The sequence below is a fragment of the Homo sapiens genome, chromosome 11 (assembly GCF_000001405.40).
Source record: "Homo sapiens chromosome 11, GRCh38.p14 Primary Assembly".
Taxonomy (NCBI): Eukaryota; Metazoa; Chordata; class Mammalia; order Primates; family Hominidae; genus Homo; species Homo sapiens.
In genome coordinates, this window is record NC_000011.10 from 62,197,548 (window position 1) to 62,218,250 (window position 20,703).

The 20,703-nt window shown below is 44.2% G+C and overlaps 1 protein-coding gene across 1 annotated transcript; it reads left to right on the forward strand.

Moving 5' to 3' along the window:
- The first annotated feature begins 11,125 nt into the window (after positions 1-11,125).
- SCGB2A1 (secretoglobin family 2A member 1) lies at positions 11,126-16,396 on the forward strand. Its single transcript, NM_002407.3, has 3 exons — positions 11,126-11,239; positions 12,866-13,053; positions 16,179-16,396. The coding sequence occupies exons 1-3, from the start codon at positions 11,185-11,187 to the stop codon at positions 16,221-16,223; spliced, it is 288 nt and encodes a 95-aa protein (NP_002398.1). The 5' UTR covers positions 11,126-11,184; the 3' UTR covers positions 16,224-16,396.
- The last annotated feature ends 4,307 nt before the right edge of the window (positions 16,397-20,703 follow it).

A 20,703-nucleotide genomic window follows, 5' to 3' on the forward strand; every position in this document is an offset into this window, starting at 1 on the left:
CTGAGAAAGATGGTTTCCAGCTTCATCCATGTCCCTGCAAAGGTCATGAACTCATCCTTTTTATGGCTGCATAGTATTCCATGGTGCATGTGTGCCACATTTTCTTTATCCAGTCTATTATTGATGGACATTTGGGTTGGTTCCAAATCTTTGCTATTGTGAACAGTGCCATAGTAAACATACATGTGCATGTGTTTTTATAGTAGAATGATTTATAATCCTTTGGGTATATACCCAGTAATGCAATTGCTGGGTCAAATGGTATTTCTGGTTCTAGATCCTTGAGGAATCACCACACTGTCTTCCACAATAGTTGAACTAATTTACACTCCTACCAACAGTGTAAAAGCATTCCTCTTTCTCCGTATCCTCTCCAGTATCTGTTGTTTCCTGACTTTTTAATGATTGCCATTCTAACTGGCGTGAGATGGTATCTCACTGTGGTTTTGATTTGCATTTCTCTAATAACCAGTGATGATGAGCCTTTTTTCGTATGTTTGTTGGCTGCATAAATGTCTTCTTTTGCGAAGTGTCTGTTCATATCCTTTGCCCACTTTTTGATTTTTTTTCTTGTAAATTTGTTTAAGTTCTTTGTAGATTCTGGATATTAGCCCTTCGTCAGATGGCTAGATTGCAAAAATTTGCCAGTTCACTCTGATGGATATCCCTGTTTTATCATCACTTTTTCTTCCTGTGATACAGGACACATATCATAGCATTGTGATAAGAACATATTACATGAATACTAGAAAGCATTCAACAAATCTTAGCAATCTTTACTATAATGCTTACAATTAATACCTTTCTGTTTATTGAGCACCCTAATATGCGTTTTGCCAGAAGCCTTCCAAGTTCTGTATGACTTAGTCCTCACTAGTTCCCAAGAAGGTCTGAGATTGTTCCCACTAATGAACCTGAGAATGACAAATGCTCTACCCAGTGCCCCTCAACACTGGCTCTGTTTTAGAATTCACTGGGAAGCTGTCAAAAGCAATCAGTGTCCAGGCTCCATCCGGGGTGCACGTGTGTATTTGTGTGCAAATAGAGTCCATGCAGTCCCTGGTCTTGGACCTCCCGCTCTTATAGGTGCAGGCATCCAGTGAACTGGGGAGGGAGTAGCTGGGACAGGAGTCCCCCATGATACTCACAGGACTCCGGACATCACCCGGCTGTTACCTTGAGGCCTTTCCCTTAGCTACTTCCATAGTCTTTAAAGCCTGGGGATTTCAAGGTGCTCACTCTAATCACATGGGGGTCACATAAGGTTAAGTTTCCTTCCTGAGCTGCTGTTAAAAGAGTGTGAAGGCCGGGCACGGTGGCTCACGCTTGTAATCCCAGCACTTTGGGAGGCTGAGGCAGGCAGATCACGAGGTCAAGAGACCATCCTGGCCAACATGGTGAAACCCTGTCTCTACCAAAATTACAAAAATTAGCTGGGCATGGTGGCGCACGCCTGTAGTCCCAGCTACTCAGGAGGCTGAGGCAGGAGAATTGCTTGAACCTGGGAGGCAGAGGTTGCAGTAAGCCGAGATCACCACGCACTCCAGCCTGGCGACAGAGCGAGACTCCGTCTCAACAACAACAATAACAATCACAAAAAACAAAAGAGTGTGAAGTGAGATCCAGCAAGACTGCTCAGGCTGGGGCAGGGAGGGAGGGTATCGAGAGTCATTGTTTAAGGGGTACAGAGTTTCTGTTTGGGATAACGACAATGAAAATGAATATTTCAAAGGCATCATAAATGCTCCTAAGGCTGCTGAACTGTACACTTAAAAATAGCTGAAATGAACATTTTTTGCTTATTTTACCACAATACAAAAAAATACTGCAAGGGCTGCCATTGCCTGAGGGGCAGCAGGAAGATACCTGCAAAAGGGAGCTAGGCCTGTGTTTTACCCCCTGGACCTGTCAGCATTCCAAAGTCAGCACTTCTCTAGGTGTCCATGCTCTCATTGATTCACCTGCTGGATGTCTTCTTTGTTGAAGATATTGCTAATTTTTAAGAAACTCTCATTCAAAAAGCTGAGATTGAGGTTTGCCAGGGACATAGAATTCACTCATGCAGGGTCTGTTGACTTTATCCCTTAAAGCCTCTCCCATAACCTCCAAGCTAAGTAAAGTCTCATAATTTGCCTCCTGCACAAATATTATCAATCTCTGCCTAGGCTCTTTTCCTCAAATGTCTTCTTCCTGTGATCCATCTGACACTTTATGACAAGCTCAATATTCTGAACACAAAGCTCTCATTTTGTCATAAGCTTCATTAAAGTGAACCTTCAATGAATCTCCATTTTTTTATGAAATAAAGCTCAACATTTCAATTCAGAAATCGGAATATTCAAGTCTGTATAATAATCTAAGCTTCACATTGTTAAAAAATATGTGTTTTCCTTTCTATCCTTATTCTTTCACTTTTTTTCTCTCAGCTGTTTTCTAACAGCTTAGGGGCTAGAAAAAGAGAAGAGAAAAGGAAATAAAGTTCTTAATTTACACACTATTTTGTAATTCATTCAGTTTCTCTGGGTCTGACAGATGTTTTATGTCATGGGTAAGTTTCATGAGTGCTTTATAAAGTCCAGATTAGTAAGATCTCTCCTTCGTTTTATGGTTTAACAAGTATTCAGACAACAACAAAGAACTTTAGAGAAATTAAAACATGATAGCTGGAATAATTAATAGAATTGAAAGAAAAAATTAAAATAGTGTCATGAAAAGCAGTATGTATGTGGTGGAAAAGATAAAGCAATAAAAAATATGAGAGAAAAGAAAAGAAGGTTGGAGGATGAATCCATTATGTCCAACTGAAAGAATTCCAGAATGACAGAGATCATGGTGGAAAGAAAGTCACCGAAGAGGCCAGTTGTGGTGGCTCATGCTTGTAATCCCAGCACTTTGGGAGGCCAAGGCAGGCAGACCACTTGAGCCCAGGAGTTTGAGACCAGCCTGGGCAACATAGTGAAAGCCCATCTCTACAAAAATTAGCTGGGTATGATGGCACGTGTCTGTAGTCCCAGCTACTGGGGAGGCTGAAGTGGGAGGATCACTTGAGCCCAGGGGGCAGAAGTTGCAGTGGACCGAGATCATGCCACTGCACTCTAGTCGGGATGACAGAGCAAGACTCTGTCTCAGAAAAAAAAAGTCACCAAGGAAATAATACCAAAAAATTTCCCAGAAAAAAATACAGTATTGAAAAATCCATAGACATCCATCTGTTTTCCATACCAAAAAATATTTTGCTAACATTCTGGAACATTGTCTTTAAGAAAAGGTCTTTCTTTCCCAGAAAGAAACAGTGAGGCACATACAGTGATGGGGAATAATAATGGAACCAACACAAGAACTGGTGGATGGAGGATAAATACTAAAAAATCAGAGGATTGTCAACCTCTAATTCTATACAAATATGAATCTGTAATCAGCCTACTCATTCAAACACAAAGATAAAATAAAGATCCTCAAACATTTTATGCCCAATAAACTTCTTCTCCAAAAGGTACTGGAGGACAGACCCCAGCAAAAACAAGTACAACAAGAAAGAGAAAGACATGGGACTCGGTAAACAGTGATGAAAATAGGAGTTAGTGGATAAATCAAGAGAACAGTAATAAAAGATTATTTGGAACATGGAAATCCTTCTGTAGAGAAAGAAGGTCTCAGGTCAATGCAGAATCGACACCACACCAAATGGGGGAGGGTGATACATTTTGTTGAAAGGATTCATAAATTTCCTTAAGGAATTAATCAGCAAGTTGAATGGGAAGACACGATATAGAACTGAAGAAAGTTACAATGTATATCACTGAGATGAGATCTTATTATGCAAATTAAAAACCTATAGAAATCCAAGGATATAGAAAGGAAAGCTTGTGGAAGAGGTGATGGCTGAGTTGGACCATGAAGCACCTAGAAGACGAGGATGACAGGCAGGGGAAGCAGGGCCTCCAGGTGCATGGAGCAGCCTGGGCAAAGGCATGGACATGAGGCTGACTCAGCCACCTGGAGGACAAAGATGCCCACATTCCTGCTGGCACCTTGCCAGGCTGGGGCTACACTCCCTGTTTGCTGAGTATGAGGCTCACGAATGCTACTGGTCATTCATCACAAGAGCAAATGTGTGCAGGTATTTCTCTAGCACTTGGCAGTACTGACATCAAAGGTAAGTAATCCTTTTTCTGTGGGATCTGTCCTTTGCATTGTAGGAGGTTCAGCAGTACCCCTGGCCTCTGTCCCCTGGGTGCTGATAGTACCCTACCACCATCCAGCTGTGACACCCAAAACTGTCCAGACTGATGTCTTTGGGAATAGGGAGGAGATGGGAGTAGGTGTGCCCTAGTTGACAATCGCTGCTCTACAGTGGAAAACTTTATGTCGGTTCTCCTATGTGACTCTTGCAATGGCCCTAAGGCAGGCATTCACAACTTTGGGATCACCACAGTTACCAGAAAAACGAATGGGGCATTGAAAAGAAAAAAAAGTCATGAACTTAATGGAGAAGATGTTAGTGTAAATATCTAATGAACCAAATCAGTTGTTACATGGGTACAGGATTAAGCTTTTCACCACACATTATAGGGAAATGTCAAGTTAAGTAAAGTTCATAGTTTTGGTTAAGGAGCCAAGGAGAATTAGCCAGGGGCTGACACCTGACCTCGGCTCTGCTTCCTAATCCAGCTCCATCTCCCAACTCATTAGATGAATCCAGGTCAGATCATATCGTGGTAATCGTCATTTTTTGAGAAACAGATCACTGGGCTGGCGTGGTGGCTCATGCCTGTAATCCCAGCAGTTTGGGAGGCCGAGGTGGGTGGATCACTTGAGGTCAGGAGTTCAAGACCAGACTGACCAACATGGCAAAACCCCATCTCTACTAAGAATACAAAAATTAGCTGGCCGTGGTGGTGCACACCTGTATTCCCAGCTACTTGGCTGAGGCATGAGAATCGCTTGAATCCAGGAGGCGGAGGTTGCAGTGAGCTGAGATGGAGATTGAGCCACTGAACTCCAGCCTGGGTGACAGAGTGAGACTCTGTCTCAAAAAAAAAGGAACACTGAGGTGGCCCCACCCCAAGCTGGCACAGCCTCCAACTACCTCCTTCCCTTGCCTGTCTCCTCCCACCCTGACCCCAAAGCCCTCATCCAAGAAAGTACAACATTAGTGTTAGTGCCCAGGATGTCACCCAGATGTGTGGTTAGTGTTGTGTGTAATCCCTGCCTTTACTAAAGATTCAAATGTCAATGAGTGCCTCTTTTTAGATAGACCTTGTACTAAAACATGAGAGATATCATCAGTGAACTCTTGTAAAGCACCAAATTTTGGCCCAGAAAATAAATTACAAAATTATTGATTAAGCACTTATTGTATGATGTTGTCATACAGAAGCAGGACATGCAGAGAGGCCATGTTCTCCAGGAGCATGAACAGAGAGGACAGGTCAGCTCCAGGGGATGTCAGGTCGGAGCTGCCCACGGAGAGCCACAGGTCCCTGGGAAAGGGGAGATCCAGGGAGTTGGAGGGGCCAGCAAAGAACACAAGGTGTGAGCTGCTTTGATGTGGCTTCCAGAATGAATGAAGCGTTTCAACCCAGAGTGACTAAGGCAAGGCAGTGGAGACCACAGGGAGCAGAGTAAAATTGTTCAATTACTGTAAGGTAAAATTGCAAAGTAAACGTAAATTATTTCAATAATTTCTCAAGCAGAAAACTGCGGGTCTTGTGCAGAAATCCACACGGAGTTCCCACAGGGCAGCAGTGGGTGTCAAGGTCACCAGGATCCACCTGAACCATGGTGTGCAGGCTTCTCAGTGTCCAGCCAAGGAGGGAAATAGTGTTGACAGCAGCTTGTGGAGGCAGAACACCTGGCTTCATATCCTGTTTCTGCCACTTCCCAGCTGTGTCCCAAAAAGTTCTATGGAATCTCTGTGTCCTTTCTCCTGTAGCTGGGGTGAAATGATCTGCCCACTTCACAGGGTGGTGATCACACATCCAGTTTGCTCAGGACAGGCCTGGTTTACATTGTTATCCTGGCATCCCACCCATTTAGGGTTCCCTTTTATTCTCCAAAGTGCCCCTCATTTACAATCAATAGCATGGTCACCCTGCTCATAGGATGATGGCTGTGAGATTCAAAGGGGCTTACAACAGTGCCCGTCATTTAGGAACTGGTGTAGAATTGTTTTTCATTCATATTTTATTGAACATTTCCTGAAAGTTGCTAAACAATGAGATCTTAAATGTTCTTATCACAAAAAAAACAAGTGTGTGAGATGATGGTGTGTTAATTAGCTTGAATTAATCATTTCAGAATGCATATATACATCAAAACATATAAACCATAAATAAATATAATTTTTATTTGTCAATTTACCTTAGTAAAGCTGGGTAAAAAATTAAAAAATGTATGTAAACATGTTCAATAAATTGGAACTGGTTTCTGGGAAGATTAATATGGTAATACTAAGTAGAAGATGCTTGGGTGATAAGTTATTTGTAAATTATTTCAATAAAACTCTGAGGCTAGTCGTGGTAGTTCATGCCTATAATCCCAGCACTTTGGGAGGCCAAGGTGGGCGGATCACTTGACCCCAGGAGTTCGAGACCAGCCTGAGCAACATGGCGAAACTCTGTCTCTACCAAAAATACAAAAATATAGCTGGGCGTGGTGGTGTGCGCCTGTAATCTCGGCTACTGGAAAGGCTGAGGCAGGAGGATCGCTTGAACTCAGGAGGCAGAGGGTGCAGTGAGCCAAGATGGCACCACTGCACTCCAGCTGGGGCGACAGAGCAAGACCCTGTTCCAAAAAAAAAAAAAAATCATAAAACCAAAAAACCTCTGAGGAAAGGGGAACGCTGAAAAAAAATCAAATACACATGGATCAAAACACAGAACTTTGTTTTCAAACTTAAAAGTTTTAGCTTATATCTGAATAGTTACTCAAATATTTTAGAGAATATTATGTGGAAGCCGAGTTTCAGTAGTGTCGAACAGTCCTAGTGGTCCTTGGAGTTTACCATAAATACATTTTTTTATTATTCAAAAATAATGGCTACCAGCTGACATCTGGATAGCACCTGCTTTGTGCCAAGCACTGTTCTCAGGACTTTCCACTTTTTACTTGTGAATCACAGCAATTCTATGACTGTTCCCATTTTAAAGGGAACACACAGCATTAAGTCTCCTGTCCAATGTGGCAGTCAGCAAACGGAGGAGCTGTGATGTGAACACAAGTGGTGGTCAGGCTCCGAGTCCTCACTCACCACCCACCTGCCATCCAACCCTTACGAGAAAGGGCTGCAGAACCTGCAGAGATGGGACCCAGCAGTGCAACACAGCGGCGCTCAGCAGAGCTGCAGCTTCTCAGGCCCTCCCTTCCCAGATCCTTCCTGGGAGTCTTGGGAATGTCCAGCTGGGATGGGACTGCCCCATGGAATAAGGGATTTTATCCTTTCCTTACTTTTCAATCATCTGACTCCTCTGGGAGTCACCTCCGGCATCTTCTGAATTTATCCATCTTTAACCTACCTCTCCCTACCCACAGCCTCCCCTCAACCTCTGAGCCAGAGGACGTTTCTCCCACTTAAGGGAAAGCACCCTTTCCCTCCTTTGGCCTTCCAGAGCCCTTCATCCATCTCTCTCTGCACCTCTCCTTTCCCGTCCGGGCTTATAGTCTCCTGTGTGTGTCTCCCCAGGCCTCTCAGAGGTACAGAGGGTCACAGGTCTCTTCTGACAATTGAGTGAGTATGAAAAACGCACCACCGTCACGTGCATCTTGGGTGTGTGTGTAAGGGGAAGGGGGTTCTTCCTTGGTTGCTGTAGACTCCCCATGGAAGCTACAGCCTCTCCTTTCCTCAGCCCCATTTCAGAAAGGAGAGGCCAGAAAGCGTTTCTGATGCTTGTGGTCTCTTTAGAGGATTCACCCTGTTCCCTTCACTCAATCCCAACCCCGTGTCACCAGATGTATTCACCCCTACGCAGGGGGAGGTCAGTCTTTGCAAGCTTCTGACACATTTTGGGACACTGAGCTGGAATATGGGGGTGCTGGGGTGGATTGAACACTGAGCAACTCAGACTTGGAATCCCAGCATGAGGCTCGGGCGCGAGGGAGGCGCTGGGTCTAGACGAGGCCTTGGTGACTTGAACAACAGGCATATTGCTGCCAACAAAGATGGCTCCAAGACCAGAGGCCTTTCCTGAAGTTCTGTTCTGTGTAAGAAGGTGACTGACAAGGCAGGGCCACAAGGACTGGGGCACCAGGCAGAGCCCCAATAAGTACTGGCCAAGGAGACACTCTCACATTTCATAATCAAGGTCCTTCACTACCCTTGGGAAACAAGGCCACCAGCCAGGGTCAGCTGTGTACAGTGGTAAGTAAACAACACTTCTCCTTTCTGTCCTCCCCAAAATTAGGTTTGTTCTTGGCCACTGAGGCTCCACCTGAATGGTGGAAAGAAACATGTCGCAAGTAATCCAGAGAGAAAACAATGCATTCACAGGGAATTAACAATGGATTCATTCCTCTGGCTGTTTCATCGACTTCTTTTTTTTTCTTTTTTCTTTTTTTACCTGAGCCAACTTTGTTTTTCTTGTTCCTATGACCTTCACTGTGCCCCTAATTAAACAGGGATGGGCTTTCTATCATGTGAGGCTGTCCCGTCCTTTTCCTGATTCTATGTGGCCACGTTCCTTCCCTTCCTTACCTTGCCAGTGCCATCTGTCCTCAAGCTTCTGTACTTGCAGTTCCCTCTCCCTGGAATTCTCTTCCCCAGATGTGTCCTTGGACATCACCATCCACTCATCCAAGTCTCAGCTGAAACAGCACCTGCTCCTACAGGCTGCCTTGGGGGGCTTACAGGCCACTGCCCCTGGGCAGGCCATCTATGACAGCATTCAGCTGTTGTGAATATTTTGTTGTTCTTTGCAGCAATGACCACTTTCTCATACCTCTGATATATCTTTAGTCTTGTTCTTTGTGTCCTTCATTAGAAAATAAGGTCCACAGGAGCAAGCACCTGGTCTAACCTGTTTCTATAACTGAATCTAGTGCAAGGCCCAGCTCACAGGAGAAGCAAAACAGTGATGCGTACAACAAGGGATCCACGCATGAATGCAACTGCCATTTATTCAGAATTATCTCATGCTTGGCTGCGTGATTAAAAATTTACAGAGCGTCGGCCGGGAGCGGTGGCTCAAACCTATAATCCCAGCACTTTGGGAGGCCAAGGTGGGTGGATCACGAGGTCAGGAGTTTGAGACCAGCCTGGCCAACATGGTGAAACCCCCATCTCTACTAAAAATACAAAATAAATAAATAAATAAATAAATAAATAAATAAATAAATAAATAAAAATTAGCTGGGCGTGGTGGTGCACACCTGTAATCCCAGCTACTCAGGAGACTGAGGCAGGATAATCGCTTGAACCCGGGAAGGCTGAGGTTGCAGTGAGTTGAGATCACGCCACTGCACTCCAGCCTGGGCAATAAGAGTGAGACTCCATCTCAAAAAAAAAAATTTACAGAGTATCTCTCATCTTTACAAAAATTCACGGCCAGGCGGGCACGGTGGCTCACACCTGTAATCTCAGCACTTTGGGAGGCCGAGGTGGGTGGATCACCTGAGGTCAGGAGTTCGAGACCAGCCTGGCCAACATGGAGAAACTCCGTCTCTACTAAAAATACGAAAATTAGCCGGGCCTCGTGCCACATGCCTGTAATCCCAGCTACTCAGAAGGTTGAGGCAGGAGAATCGCTTGAACTCGGGAGGCGGAGGTTGCAGTGAGCCAAGATCGTGCCACTGAACTCCAGCCTGGGCAACAGGGCAAGACTCTGTCTCGAAAAAAAAAAAAATTCAGCATCACTTATACCCGTTTCACAAAGACAGAAAGGAAGCCCAGAGGGACCAGCATTGTAATTTGCCCAAAGACACAGCATGAGTACGTGTGGCCTCCAGGATCCACACCCACACCTGCCCAAATCTTATCACCTAAATCTCATCATCACCCAACCCCATTGCCACCCACTGCCTAGCACTGCCTGCCCAAGCAGTCAGTTACTCCACTCACTCACAGCATCCTCTCAGTCAGTGGATAGAAAACCGTAAAAGGCTAACAAAGAACTAAGCACAAATTAAATTATAAATATATTGTAAAATAAATTTGTAAAGTTGAATTAACTTAGTGTTGTAATTCTTAACAAGAATAACAAGAAGCTTTCAGTAGAGGTTAGATATTAATGTTTTCCCCAAAACTTAAAGCACTTTTCGGGGCTGGGCATGGTGGCTCACGCCTGTAATCCCAGCACTTTGGGAGGCTGAGTGAGGTGGATCTCCTGAGGTCAGAAGTTCGAGACCAGCCTGGCCAAAATGGTGAAACCCTGTCTCTACTAAAAATACAAAAATTAGCCAGGTGTCCTGGCGCATGCCTGTAATCCCAGCTACCCAGGAGGCTGAGGCAGGAGAATTTCTGGAACCCGGGAGGCGGAGGCTGCAGTGAGCCAAGATCGCACCACTGCACTCCAGCCTGGGCAATAGAGTGAGACTCTGTCTCAAAACAACAACAACAACAGCAACAAAACCCCAAAAAACAAAAACAAAAAAACCCGCTTTTCTGAAAAAGAAATGTCTATGGATTAGGAAGGTCTGCCTCCCATAGGAAGATGCAGGTATTGCACATAGCCCAAATATTTGATGATTCCAGGACCGGCAGATACACAAGTTATGAAACTGTTTGTACCTTGAAGAATAACGAGAAGAGGAGGAGACCAAGAGGAATAGAAGAAAAAGAATAGAAGGAGGAGGAGGAAGAAGGGAAGGAGGACTAGAAGAAAACTACAATAATAACAACATTGTTGAGACCACAAGATCACGCCACTGGGTTTTGCTTTATATTTTGGAAAACACTGTCACATCCATTTTACTAAAAGCCATGTATCATTATTGTAGTCCCCAGATTGTCAGGGATCCAAATATTACTGCCTTCTTGGTTTCTACAAACAGAGCACAGGCTGGCTGTGTTCCCATTGGTGTACACTATTGTGTCCTGGTCCCATGCCAGGTTGACACATTGCCTCATTCCTGGGAGGGACTAAGGTGCCTCCCTGGGGAATAAATAGAGCAGGGCTGGGTACTCACCTCCACAGCAACTTCCTTGATCCCTGCCACGCACGACTGAACACAGACAGCAGCCGCCTCGCCATGAAGCTGCTGATGGTCCTCATGCTGGCGGCCCTCCTCCTGCACTGCTATGCAGGTGAGTTCTGGGCAGAGAGGGCTGCTTCTGGGCTAGGAATTGTCACCTGGGCCCCTGTAGAAGAACTCCCAACCTCTAATCCCCAGCACAGACGAGCCCCAGTGTGAAGGGCCTGGGTGCGATAGGCCTTAGGATCCCCATGAGTTCCTGACAATCAAGCATGCAGTGTCCTCATGGGCTGTCCCCTGCATTGGAGCTGCACACAGTGTATCATGGCACTCAGCGTCTCACCATGGTCACGGTGACCATAGAAACCAGGATGAGTCTCAGGATTAAATATTGAAATGAACTATTTCAGTGGGGCAAGGGAGAGATGGCATCTACACCTAGAAATCAGGAAATAATCATGGGTCTCCTTGAATATGGAACGAAATAGGAAACCTCCCAGGACAGAAGGCCCAGGCTGCAGAGTGTGACCCAGTGTCTCTCACCCTGTGTGGCTCACTCTGTGTTCTCAGAGTTGATCTGGGTCCTTCTGGGATGCCCTTACCCTCCCAGTTGCTTCAGGCTCAAGGCAGACAGGTGAGAACTCACAACCCCTGGAGTCTCCTTCCAGCACTAAAGATTCAGTGGGAGGAAAAAGCCCCGGCTGCTGGAATCAGCGCTAATATTTCCATAGGTAGCCTGCCTTGTGCAGTTCACAAAGGTGGATTCCAAACCCTACCGTATTGGCATCCAAGGTAGGTGCAGATGTGTAGAAGGGTGACAAGCTCACAGTCAACTAACTGGAAAATCACAAAGTCCAGAGCACAACCAGCTCACATGAAGCCACGTCCTGAGCTCGTTCCTCTCCCTTACAGTGGGAGGTGACCTCAGATCCCCTCATGAACAAGCTCTATTTCACATTCATGTGTGTGTGTGTGTGTGTGTGTGTGTGTGTGTGTGTGTGTGTTTGAGACAGGGTCTTGCTCTGTCACCCAGGCTGGGACTGGGACTGGTGTGCAATGGCACAGTCTCAGCTCACTGCAACCTCTTCCTCGAAGGCTCAAGTAATGCTCCTGCCTCAGCCTCCCGAGTAGCTGGGACTACAGGTGGACACCACTATGCCTGGCTAATTTTTAAATTTTTTGTAGAGATGAGGTCTCCCTGTGTTGTCCAGGCTGGTCTTAAACTCCTGAGCTCAAGCAATTCGCCTGCCTTGGCCTCCCTAAGTGCTGGGATTACAGGCGTGAGCCACCATACCTGGCCACACATTCCCTTTTATTGCAGTAGAGTCAACAGAACTAATGGACAATGTCCTAGACCCATTCATCTGAAATCCTTGGAAACCCTACCTGATGCTGGGCATGATAACAGGGAAGCATTGCATGACTTTGAACCAAGAAAGTCCAAGTAGTGTTTGCTATGTCCCCCCAGTCAGAACACCTCATTTCTCGAGGGTCCTCTTCACCAAGAATACACAGGGTTGGGCTTCTCTGGGTTTGGAAGGTCAGAGAGAATTTGCAGAGCCTGAGTTTACACTCCCAGAATTGAGAACTCTGCATACTGCACCAAAATCTTTCTGAACCTCGGTCTGTCCCTGGAGGTACGAAGATAGCCAGCTTCCCAATTCATCTGTAGAATGAATCACACCTCTAGTAATGGCCCATGTTCTTGTGTCTTTTTTTTTTTTTTTTTTTTTTCCAGATTCTGGCTGCAAACTCCTGGAGGACATGGTTGAAAAGACCATCAATTCCGACATATCTATACCTGAATACAAAGAGCTTCTTCAAGAGTTCATAGACAGTGATGCCGCTGCAGAGGCTATGGGGAAATTCAAGCAGTGTTTCCTCAACCAGTCACATAGAACTCTGAAAAACTTTGGACTGATGATGGTAATTTGGGTTTCTTCTTATGTACCCTTTGAAAATCACTGATCAGAACCAGCGGGCTCTAAATTTGGCACCAAGAATGCCAAGCAACTGGTGAACAAACTTTCTTTATATATCAATTCATTAAACTTTGTCTCCAGGCTGCTTTGCCACTTCACATTGAGAATCTTTAGGGAGTGATAAATGGAAAAGGCAAAAAGGAGAAAAGAAAGCCTTAGAGATCACCCGTCTACCTCTGACCTCACCAGTCCCTTCTCACACAGACACAGACACACATAAGCACACAAGTATAGACACACACAGACACACGGGGACAGGCATCGGCATTTTTTTTTTTTTTTTTGAGACGGAGTTTCGCTCTGTCACTCAGGCTGGAGTGTAGTGGCGTGAATCTCGGCTCACTGCAACCTCCACCTCCCGGGTTCAAGAGATTTGCCTGCCTCCACCTCCCGAGTAGTTGGGATTACAGGTGTGCGCCACCACGCCGGGCTAATTTTTGTATTTTAACTAGAGAAGGAGTTTCACCATGTTGGCCAGGCTGGTCTCAAACTCCTAACCTCAAGTGATCTGCCTCCCTTGGCCTCCCAGAGTTCTGAGATTACAGGTCTGAGCCCCCGCACCCAGCCAGAACATGCACATTTTTATCAAGAGAAAATATCTGGTTCTCAAGAGATCACACACTTGTAGGAGCAATCTACTAAGAAATTTCCTACTTTCACAAAAACAAATATTCAAAACATTCTTATTTTTTTTTATCTAGCTCAGAAAATACAATTTGTGCAAATTCTGCATTTTCTAAAATAAAGAAAAAAATTTTTTTGAGATGGAGTTTCACTCTGTTGCCCAGGCTGGAGTGCAGTGGCATGATCTTCGTTCACTGCAACCTCTGCCTCCTGGGATCAAGCAATTCTTGTGCCTCAGACTCTCAGGTAGCTGGGACTACAGGCATGTACCACCATGCCCAGCTAATTTTTGTATTTTTAGTAGAGATGAGATTTTACCATGTTGGCCAGGCTGGTCTTGAACTCCTGACCTCAGGTGATCTGCCCGCCTCGGCCTCCCAAAGTGCTGGGATTACAGGTGTGAGCCACTGCTCCCGGCCTAAAATAAAGAATTTAAAATGCAAGTCCAAGCAACCAAGATTTGTTAGCATACATGACTGGAAGTCATGCACCACTTAATTAAGTGCCTCATGAAGTGGGAAGTGCAGATTATGGGTATGAAACAGCACGAGTGCTAGAATTGTTTAAAACAAAAGTCAGTGGTTATAACAAGGAGTATTTCTGTCTGTTTATAAAGATGTGTTGGTTACGAGTTTTGTTTTTTGTTTTTCGTTTTTTTCGAGATGGAGTTTAGCTCTTGTTGCTCAGGCTGGAGTGCAATGGCACGATCTCGGCTCACTACAATCTCCGGCTCCTGAGTTCAAGTGATTCTCCTGCCTCAGTCTTCGGAGTAGCTGGAATTACTGGCACACAACACCACAGCCTGCTAATTTTTGTATTTTAAGTAGAGATGGGGTTTCACCATGTTGGCCAGGCTGGTCTCAAACTCCTGACCTCAGGTGATCTGCCCGCTTCAGCCTCCCAAAGTGCTGGGATTACATTTTTTTTTTAAGAATTTATTTAATACCCTAAAATTTTATTTAAAACATTCCATAATAAAAAATGTAAAGATATATCAAATGCTCAAGGATAAAAATAAATATTAACTGCAATTTGGGATGGTTGAATCATTTTTTTCTTTAAAAACTCAGATTAGCCAGGTGCATCCCTCATACCTGTAATCCCAGCACTTTAGGAGGCCAAGGCGGGCAGATCACTTGAGGTCAGGAGTTCAAGACCAGCCTGGCCAACATGCTGAAACCCTGTCTCTACTAAAAATACAAAAATTAGCTAGGCGTGGTGGCGCACACCTGTAATTCCAGCTGCTTGGGTGGCTGAGGCAGAAGAATTACTTGAAGCCAGGAGGCAGAGATTGCAGTGAGCCAAGATAGTGCCACCGCACTCCAGCCTGGGCAACAGAGTAAGACTCCATCTCAAAAACAAACAAACAAACAAAAATCCTAAACAAACCAAAAAAACCCCTCAGATTAATCATTCATATTGTAAAACTCCAGTGTTTCTTGTTTCCGTTTTTTTGTCTTTGTTTTTGTTTTTGAGACAGAGTCTTGCTCTTTTGCCCAGGCTGGAATGCAGTGGTACAATCACAGCTCACTGCAGCCTCCATCTCCTGGGCTCAAGTGATCCTCCCGCTTCAGCCTCCTGAGTAGCTGCGACTACAGGTGCACACTAACACACCTGGCATATATATACATATATATACACACACACATATATACACACATATGTACACACATATGTACACATATGTACACATATATGTGCACATATACATGCATATATGTACACATATATGCACATATATACATATATACACACATATATACATATATACACATATATACACATATATACATATATACACATATATACACATATATATATATATATTTTTTTTTTTGTAGAGATGGCATTTTGTCATATTGTCCAGGCTGGTTTAAACTCCTGGGGTCAAGCAATCTGCCCTCCTTGGCTTCCCAAAGTGCTGGGATTACAGGCATGAGCCATCCCACCCAGCCCAGCTCCAATATTTCATAGGCCTCAAAGGTAATGGTGAAGAGTCTCAGACTGTTACAACATTTCTACCTTTTATGCCTGTGCAGCAACTCAAAACCATCACATTCTTGTATCTGAGCTGAGATTTTTTAATAATTCTGTGTTGTAAAAGTGGTATCAGAAACAGTCCAAATGATCAGGTCTTCAACAAATAGTATATGCAGCATATTTATTGGATAAGTTATTTCAAAGGATAGAATTTTTGGAGAAAAAAAGTATTACATGGATCACTGGTAGGGAAGAGATCCTACAACCCTGGCCCCTGTTTGGCATTATGAAGTGTCTCCTAGATAACAGAATAAATGGAGAGGGGATGCTGGCTTTGCTTCCACTGCAAATCCTCCTGAGAGTTAGCTGTTTGTGGACAAATGCAAGAAAACAAGAAGACAAGTTTTAATATTTGATTTAATAAGTGAAATTTGCAAACCTAAGTGACCTGCTTTTGTTTTCCAGCATACAGTGTACGACAGCATTTGGTGTAATATGAAGAGTAATTAACTTTACCCAAGGCGTTTGGCTCAGAGGGCTACAGACTATGGCCAGAACTCATCTGTTGATTGCTAGAAACCACTTTTCTTTCTTGTGTTGTCTTTTTATGTGGAAACTGCTAGACAACTGTTGAAACCTCAAATTCATTTCCATTTCAATAAACTAACTGCAAATCACTAAAATTCTTTCTTGTTCTTCTATAAAAAAAGAAGCTTTCCAGGCTGCACAGTCAGGCTGTAGGTTGCAGACAGAGACAAGCCTCGAAGGAGTTGAGTGAGGGTCCGAGGTTTCTGGGAAATACTTTATTTCTCATCATCTCGAGCCCAAGAGTTGGACTTCTCTCTCTCTGCAGAACAAAGTATTAGCTCTTGTTGCTTAGCTAATTTTTCTCTGAAGAGTGTTTCACTCTCCACATCCCACTACCTCCCTAAGCCACTTTCTCTGGGGACCTCACACTCTTGGAGTCATGCTCAGAAGCCCTGATTTTACCCCAGTCCCATCCATGCTGAGCCCTGCTGGTTATGCCAGGCTCCTCTGGGTTGTCTTTGGGCCTCCCCAACGTGTGCAGGGCCCAGACCAGAGCCAGCCAGGGAGGGGAGGCCTGCAAAGCAAGGTGGATCCTGTCTGGATTTTAAATTTTGAGTTTTATTTGTCGTTCATGGATGTTGGCATTAATTTTGAACTTTTAAAATATTGCATGAAAATATTACTTACCCTGATGACTGAGTTTGCTAGCATAGCGACACCTTAAATTGTGCAACTTTTCTCAGTCCAGTCTCTGCCAGTGGGTCCATCCTCCCCTGCCCCACAGTGAGCTGCAAAGGCAATGAGGGTTGAGGGGAGTGAGTGTGCTATGCAGGGACCCAGCACAGAAGGGGATGTTTAAATGGAACCGGGGTCTCCATCGTGTCCTGTCCCCAGCACTCCTGTCACCAGGGTTAGGTTATTGCCTGTCCCTTTTCCTTCTGGGGCTATCCCCTCACCCAGGAAGACCCTGTCTATGTGTCTGGACAACTCAGCTTCACCAGGGCCGACTCTTCCATCAGGCAAGGCAAGGGCAGGGATCCAGGCCCACAATATACATAGGGGTGTATGAAAATGTTATAATTTAAAGAATAATTTCCTGAAGTGATTGTAATATTAATGAACATATACCAATGAATCTAGCCTGAATTCTATACTTCGTCTTACCAATACAGTTGTAAAGTATGTTTAAAATGTTCTTATGAAGAAGTGGCCTATGAAGGCAATGTAATACCTGTGACCTACAAAAGCCATGCAACAGATGATAAAATATTGCTGTTTTATTTGGACTCAGAGACCTATCCTCAAACCCTCAATCTTCTGGCCAAAGTTTAGGTCAAATAAGGATGTGATGTGTCAACTTGTAATTCAATATGTAAATGACAAAAATCTAGTTTCTCAAGAAGAGCTGGACTATATTCTTTTTTAGAGACAGAGACCTATTCTCCTTTTTCCCTGAAAGACAATTAGGAAAAAACTCAATCAAAAACCCCAAAATAAAGAGTCAGAAAAGCCAGTTCTCATGCCTAAAGACTCCAGCACATGGGATCCCCTAGACCATCTTCCCCTGCTGAATGCTCTTAACCCTTCCCCTCAGACAGCCCTTCTGTCCCAGATCCTGCCCCAGATCCCTCCCTTGCTCACATTATTCCTCCTCCTTACAATCCAGATTCCTGGGAATCATCATCCCATGAGCCTATTTCTTCTCAGCCCATGTAGCCTATTTCTTCTCAGCCCATGTATCCTTCCCTAAAAAGACTCCAGCATTAGAAAAAACAATATAAAAAGGATATTCAAAATTTCCCATTTCCCTCCACACCTAAGGAGTCAGCCCCAACTCTCTTCCCCTTAAAAGAGGTGCCACAAGGAGATGGAACTACTGACTTTGTAAATACTCCCTTAACCAGTTTGGAGGTCTAAAGTTTGAAGAAGAAACTTAAGCCATTGTTATATGACACTTACAGAGTGACAGATCAGGTTGATCAGTTTTTGAGACCTCGGTTACACACTTGGGTCGAGTTAATGTCCATCCTAGACATCCTCTTTTCAGGGAAGGAAAAAAACATGATCCCTAGGGCTGCTATGGCAATTTAAAAATGTAAATATCCTCCCGGTCAAACATTCCTAATGCAGATCGAAAGTTTTCCACCCAAGACCCCCGGGGTAGGGAAAAGAAAGAGATCAGACTGTTACTGTGTCTATGCAGAAAGGGAAGACATAAGAAACTCCATTTTGACCTGTACCCTGAACAATTGCTTTGCCCTGAGATGCTGTTAATCTGTAATTTTCCCCAACCTTGAGCTCACAAAAACATGTGTTGTATGGAATCAAGGTTTAAGGGATCTAGGGCTGTGCAGGATGTGCCTTGTTAACAAAATGTTTACAGGCAGTATGGTTGGTAGAAGTCATCACCATTCTCCAGTCTTGATAAACCAGGGGCACAATGCACTGTGGAAAGCCACAGGGACCTCTGTCCTGGAAAGCCAGGTATATCCAAGGTTTCTCCCCATGTGATAGTCTGAAATATGGCCTCGTGGGATGGCAAAGACCTGACTGTCCCCCAGCCCGACACCCGGGAAGGGTCTGTTCTGAGGAGGATTAGTAAAAGAGGAAAGCCTTTGCAGTTGAGATAGAGAAAGGCCACTGTCTCCTGCCCCTGGAACTGAATGTCTCAGTATAAAACCCGATTGTACATTTGTTCAATTCTGAGATAGGAGAAAAAGGGAAAAACTGCCCTGTGGCGGGAGGTGAGACATGTTGGCAGCAATGCTGCTTTATTATTCTTTACTCCACTGAGATGTTCGGGTGGAGAGAAACATAAATCTGGCCTACGTGCACATCCAGGCATAGTACCTTCCCTTGAACTTACTTGTAACACAGATTCCTTGCTCATATGTTTTCTTGCTGACCTTCTCCCCACTATCACCCTGCTCTCCTACCACATTCCTCTTGCTGAGATAGTGAAAATGGTAATCAATAAATAATGAGGGAACTCAGAGAACGGTGCTGGTGCAGGTCCTCCGTATGCTGAGTGCCGGTCCCCTGGGCCCACTGTTCTTTCTCTATACTTTGTCTCCGTGTCTTATTTCTTTTCTCAGTCTCTCATCCCACCTACGAGAAATACCCACAGGTGTGGAGGGGTTGGCCCCCTTCAGCCCGGTAAGACAATAATAGCACAGCTCACAGGGAAAATATACAAGACCTAAGAAAAATGATAGTAAAGAAAATTAGAGAATCAGTACCCCAAACCCAAAACCTCTCTAAAACACTTGATATACAACAAGAAAAAGATGAAGGGCCTATGAAATTTCTAGACAGACTAAAGGATCAAATGAGACAATATACAGGCCTAAATTTAAAAGATCCCCTCGGACAGGGAATGTTAAAACTCCACTTTGTCACTAAAAGTTGCCCAGATATTTCAGAAAGTTACAAAAATTAGAAAATTGGGAGAACCGACCTCTAAATGAACTTCTCAGAAAAGCTCAAAAAGTGTATGTGAGAAGAGACAAAGAAAAATAAAAACAAAAGACAAAACGTATGGCATCCACTTTCCAACAGGTGGCTCCAAACCCACATACTTCTAAAGAAAGCTTCCACGGGGCCAAAAACTATAAAAGGTTCAGATCCCCAATTAAAGGACACAAGCCTCCACCTAGAGGACTCAGGCCCTCTTCTACCAGAACCTCAAAAAATATGGGGGGACAAAGTGACAAAATCCCAAAACTGAGAGAAAAAAAAGACAGGATAGGTGCTACAAACGTGAAAGGACAGGCCACTTCAAGAGAGAATGTCCCAAACTAAAAAAAGAGGAAAAAACCCTTCCACTCATGACTTTTGAGGAAGAATAAGGGGGGTCAGGGACTCTGTTTCTTTTACCTCAAGTCCCACCAAGAGCCCTTGATAAATTTAGAGGTGAGACCCAAACATGAGCTTATCACCTTTTCAGTCAATTCAGGGACGACTCGCTCCTCTGTTTGTTTCCCTCCATCCAACATTGCCTGCTCTTCGGAAGAACTTTTAGTCTCTGGGGTAAAAAGAAAAGGATTTAAAACAAAAATCTTAGAAAGTACAAAAGTTAAATACCAAGATTCATTGACTAACATCCAATATTTTTTAATCCCTGAAACAAAAACTAATCTACTAAAAAGAGACTTAATGCTAAAATTAGGTATAGGTCTACAAGTTAGCCTTAAAAGAGTCCTTACTTCATTAAACCTACTCACCACTGCAGATGAAAAATATATTAACCCCTATGTCTGGTCAAGGAAAGAAAACTGAGAGAAACTCAAAATCCCTCCAATCCACATCAAACTAAAGACCCCCAGGAAAGTAGTAAAAAAAAAATACCCCATTACCCTAGAGGATAGAATAGGGTTAAAGCCCATAATTGAAAGTCTTATCAAGGTTGGGCTTCTTGAACCCTGTATGTCCCCTTATAACACTCCAATATTGCCAAGAAATC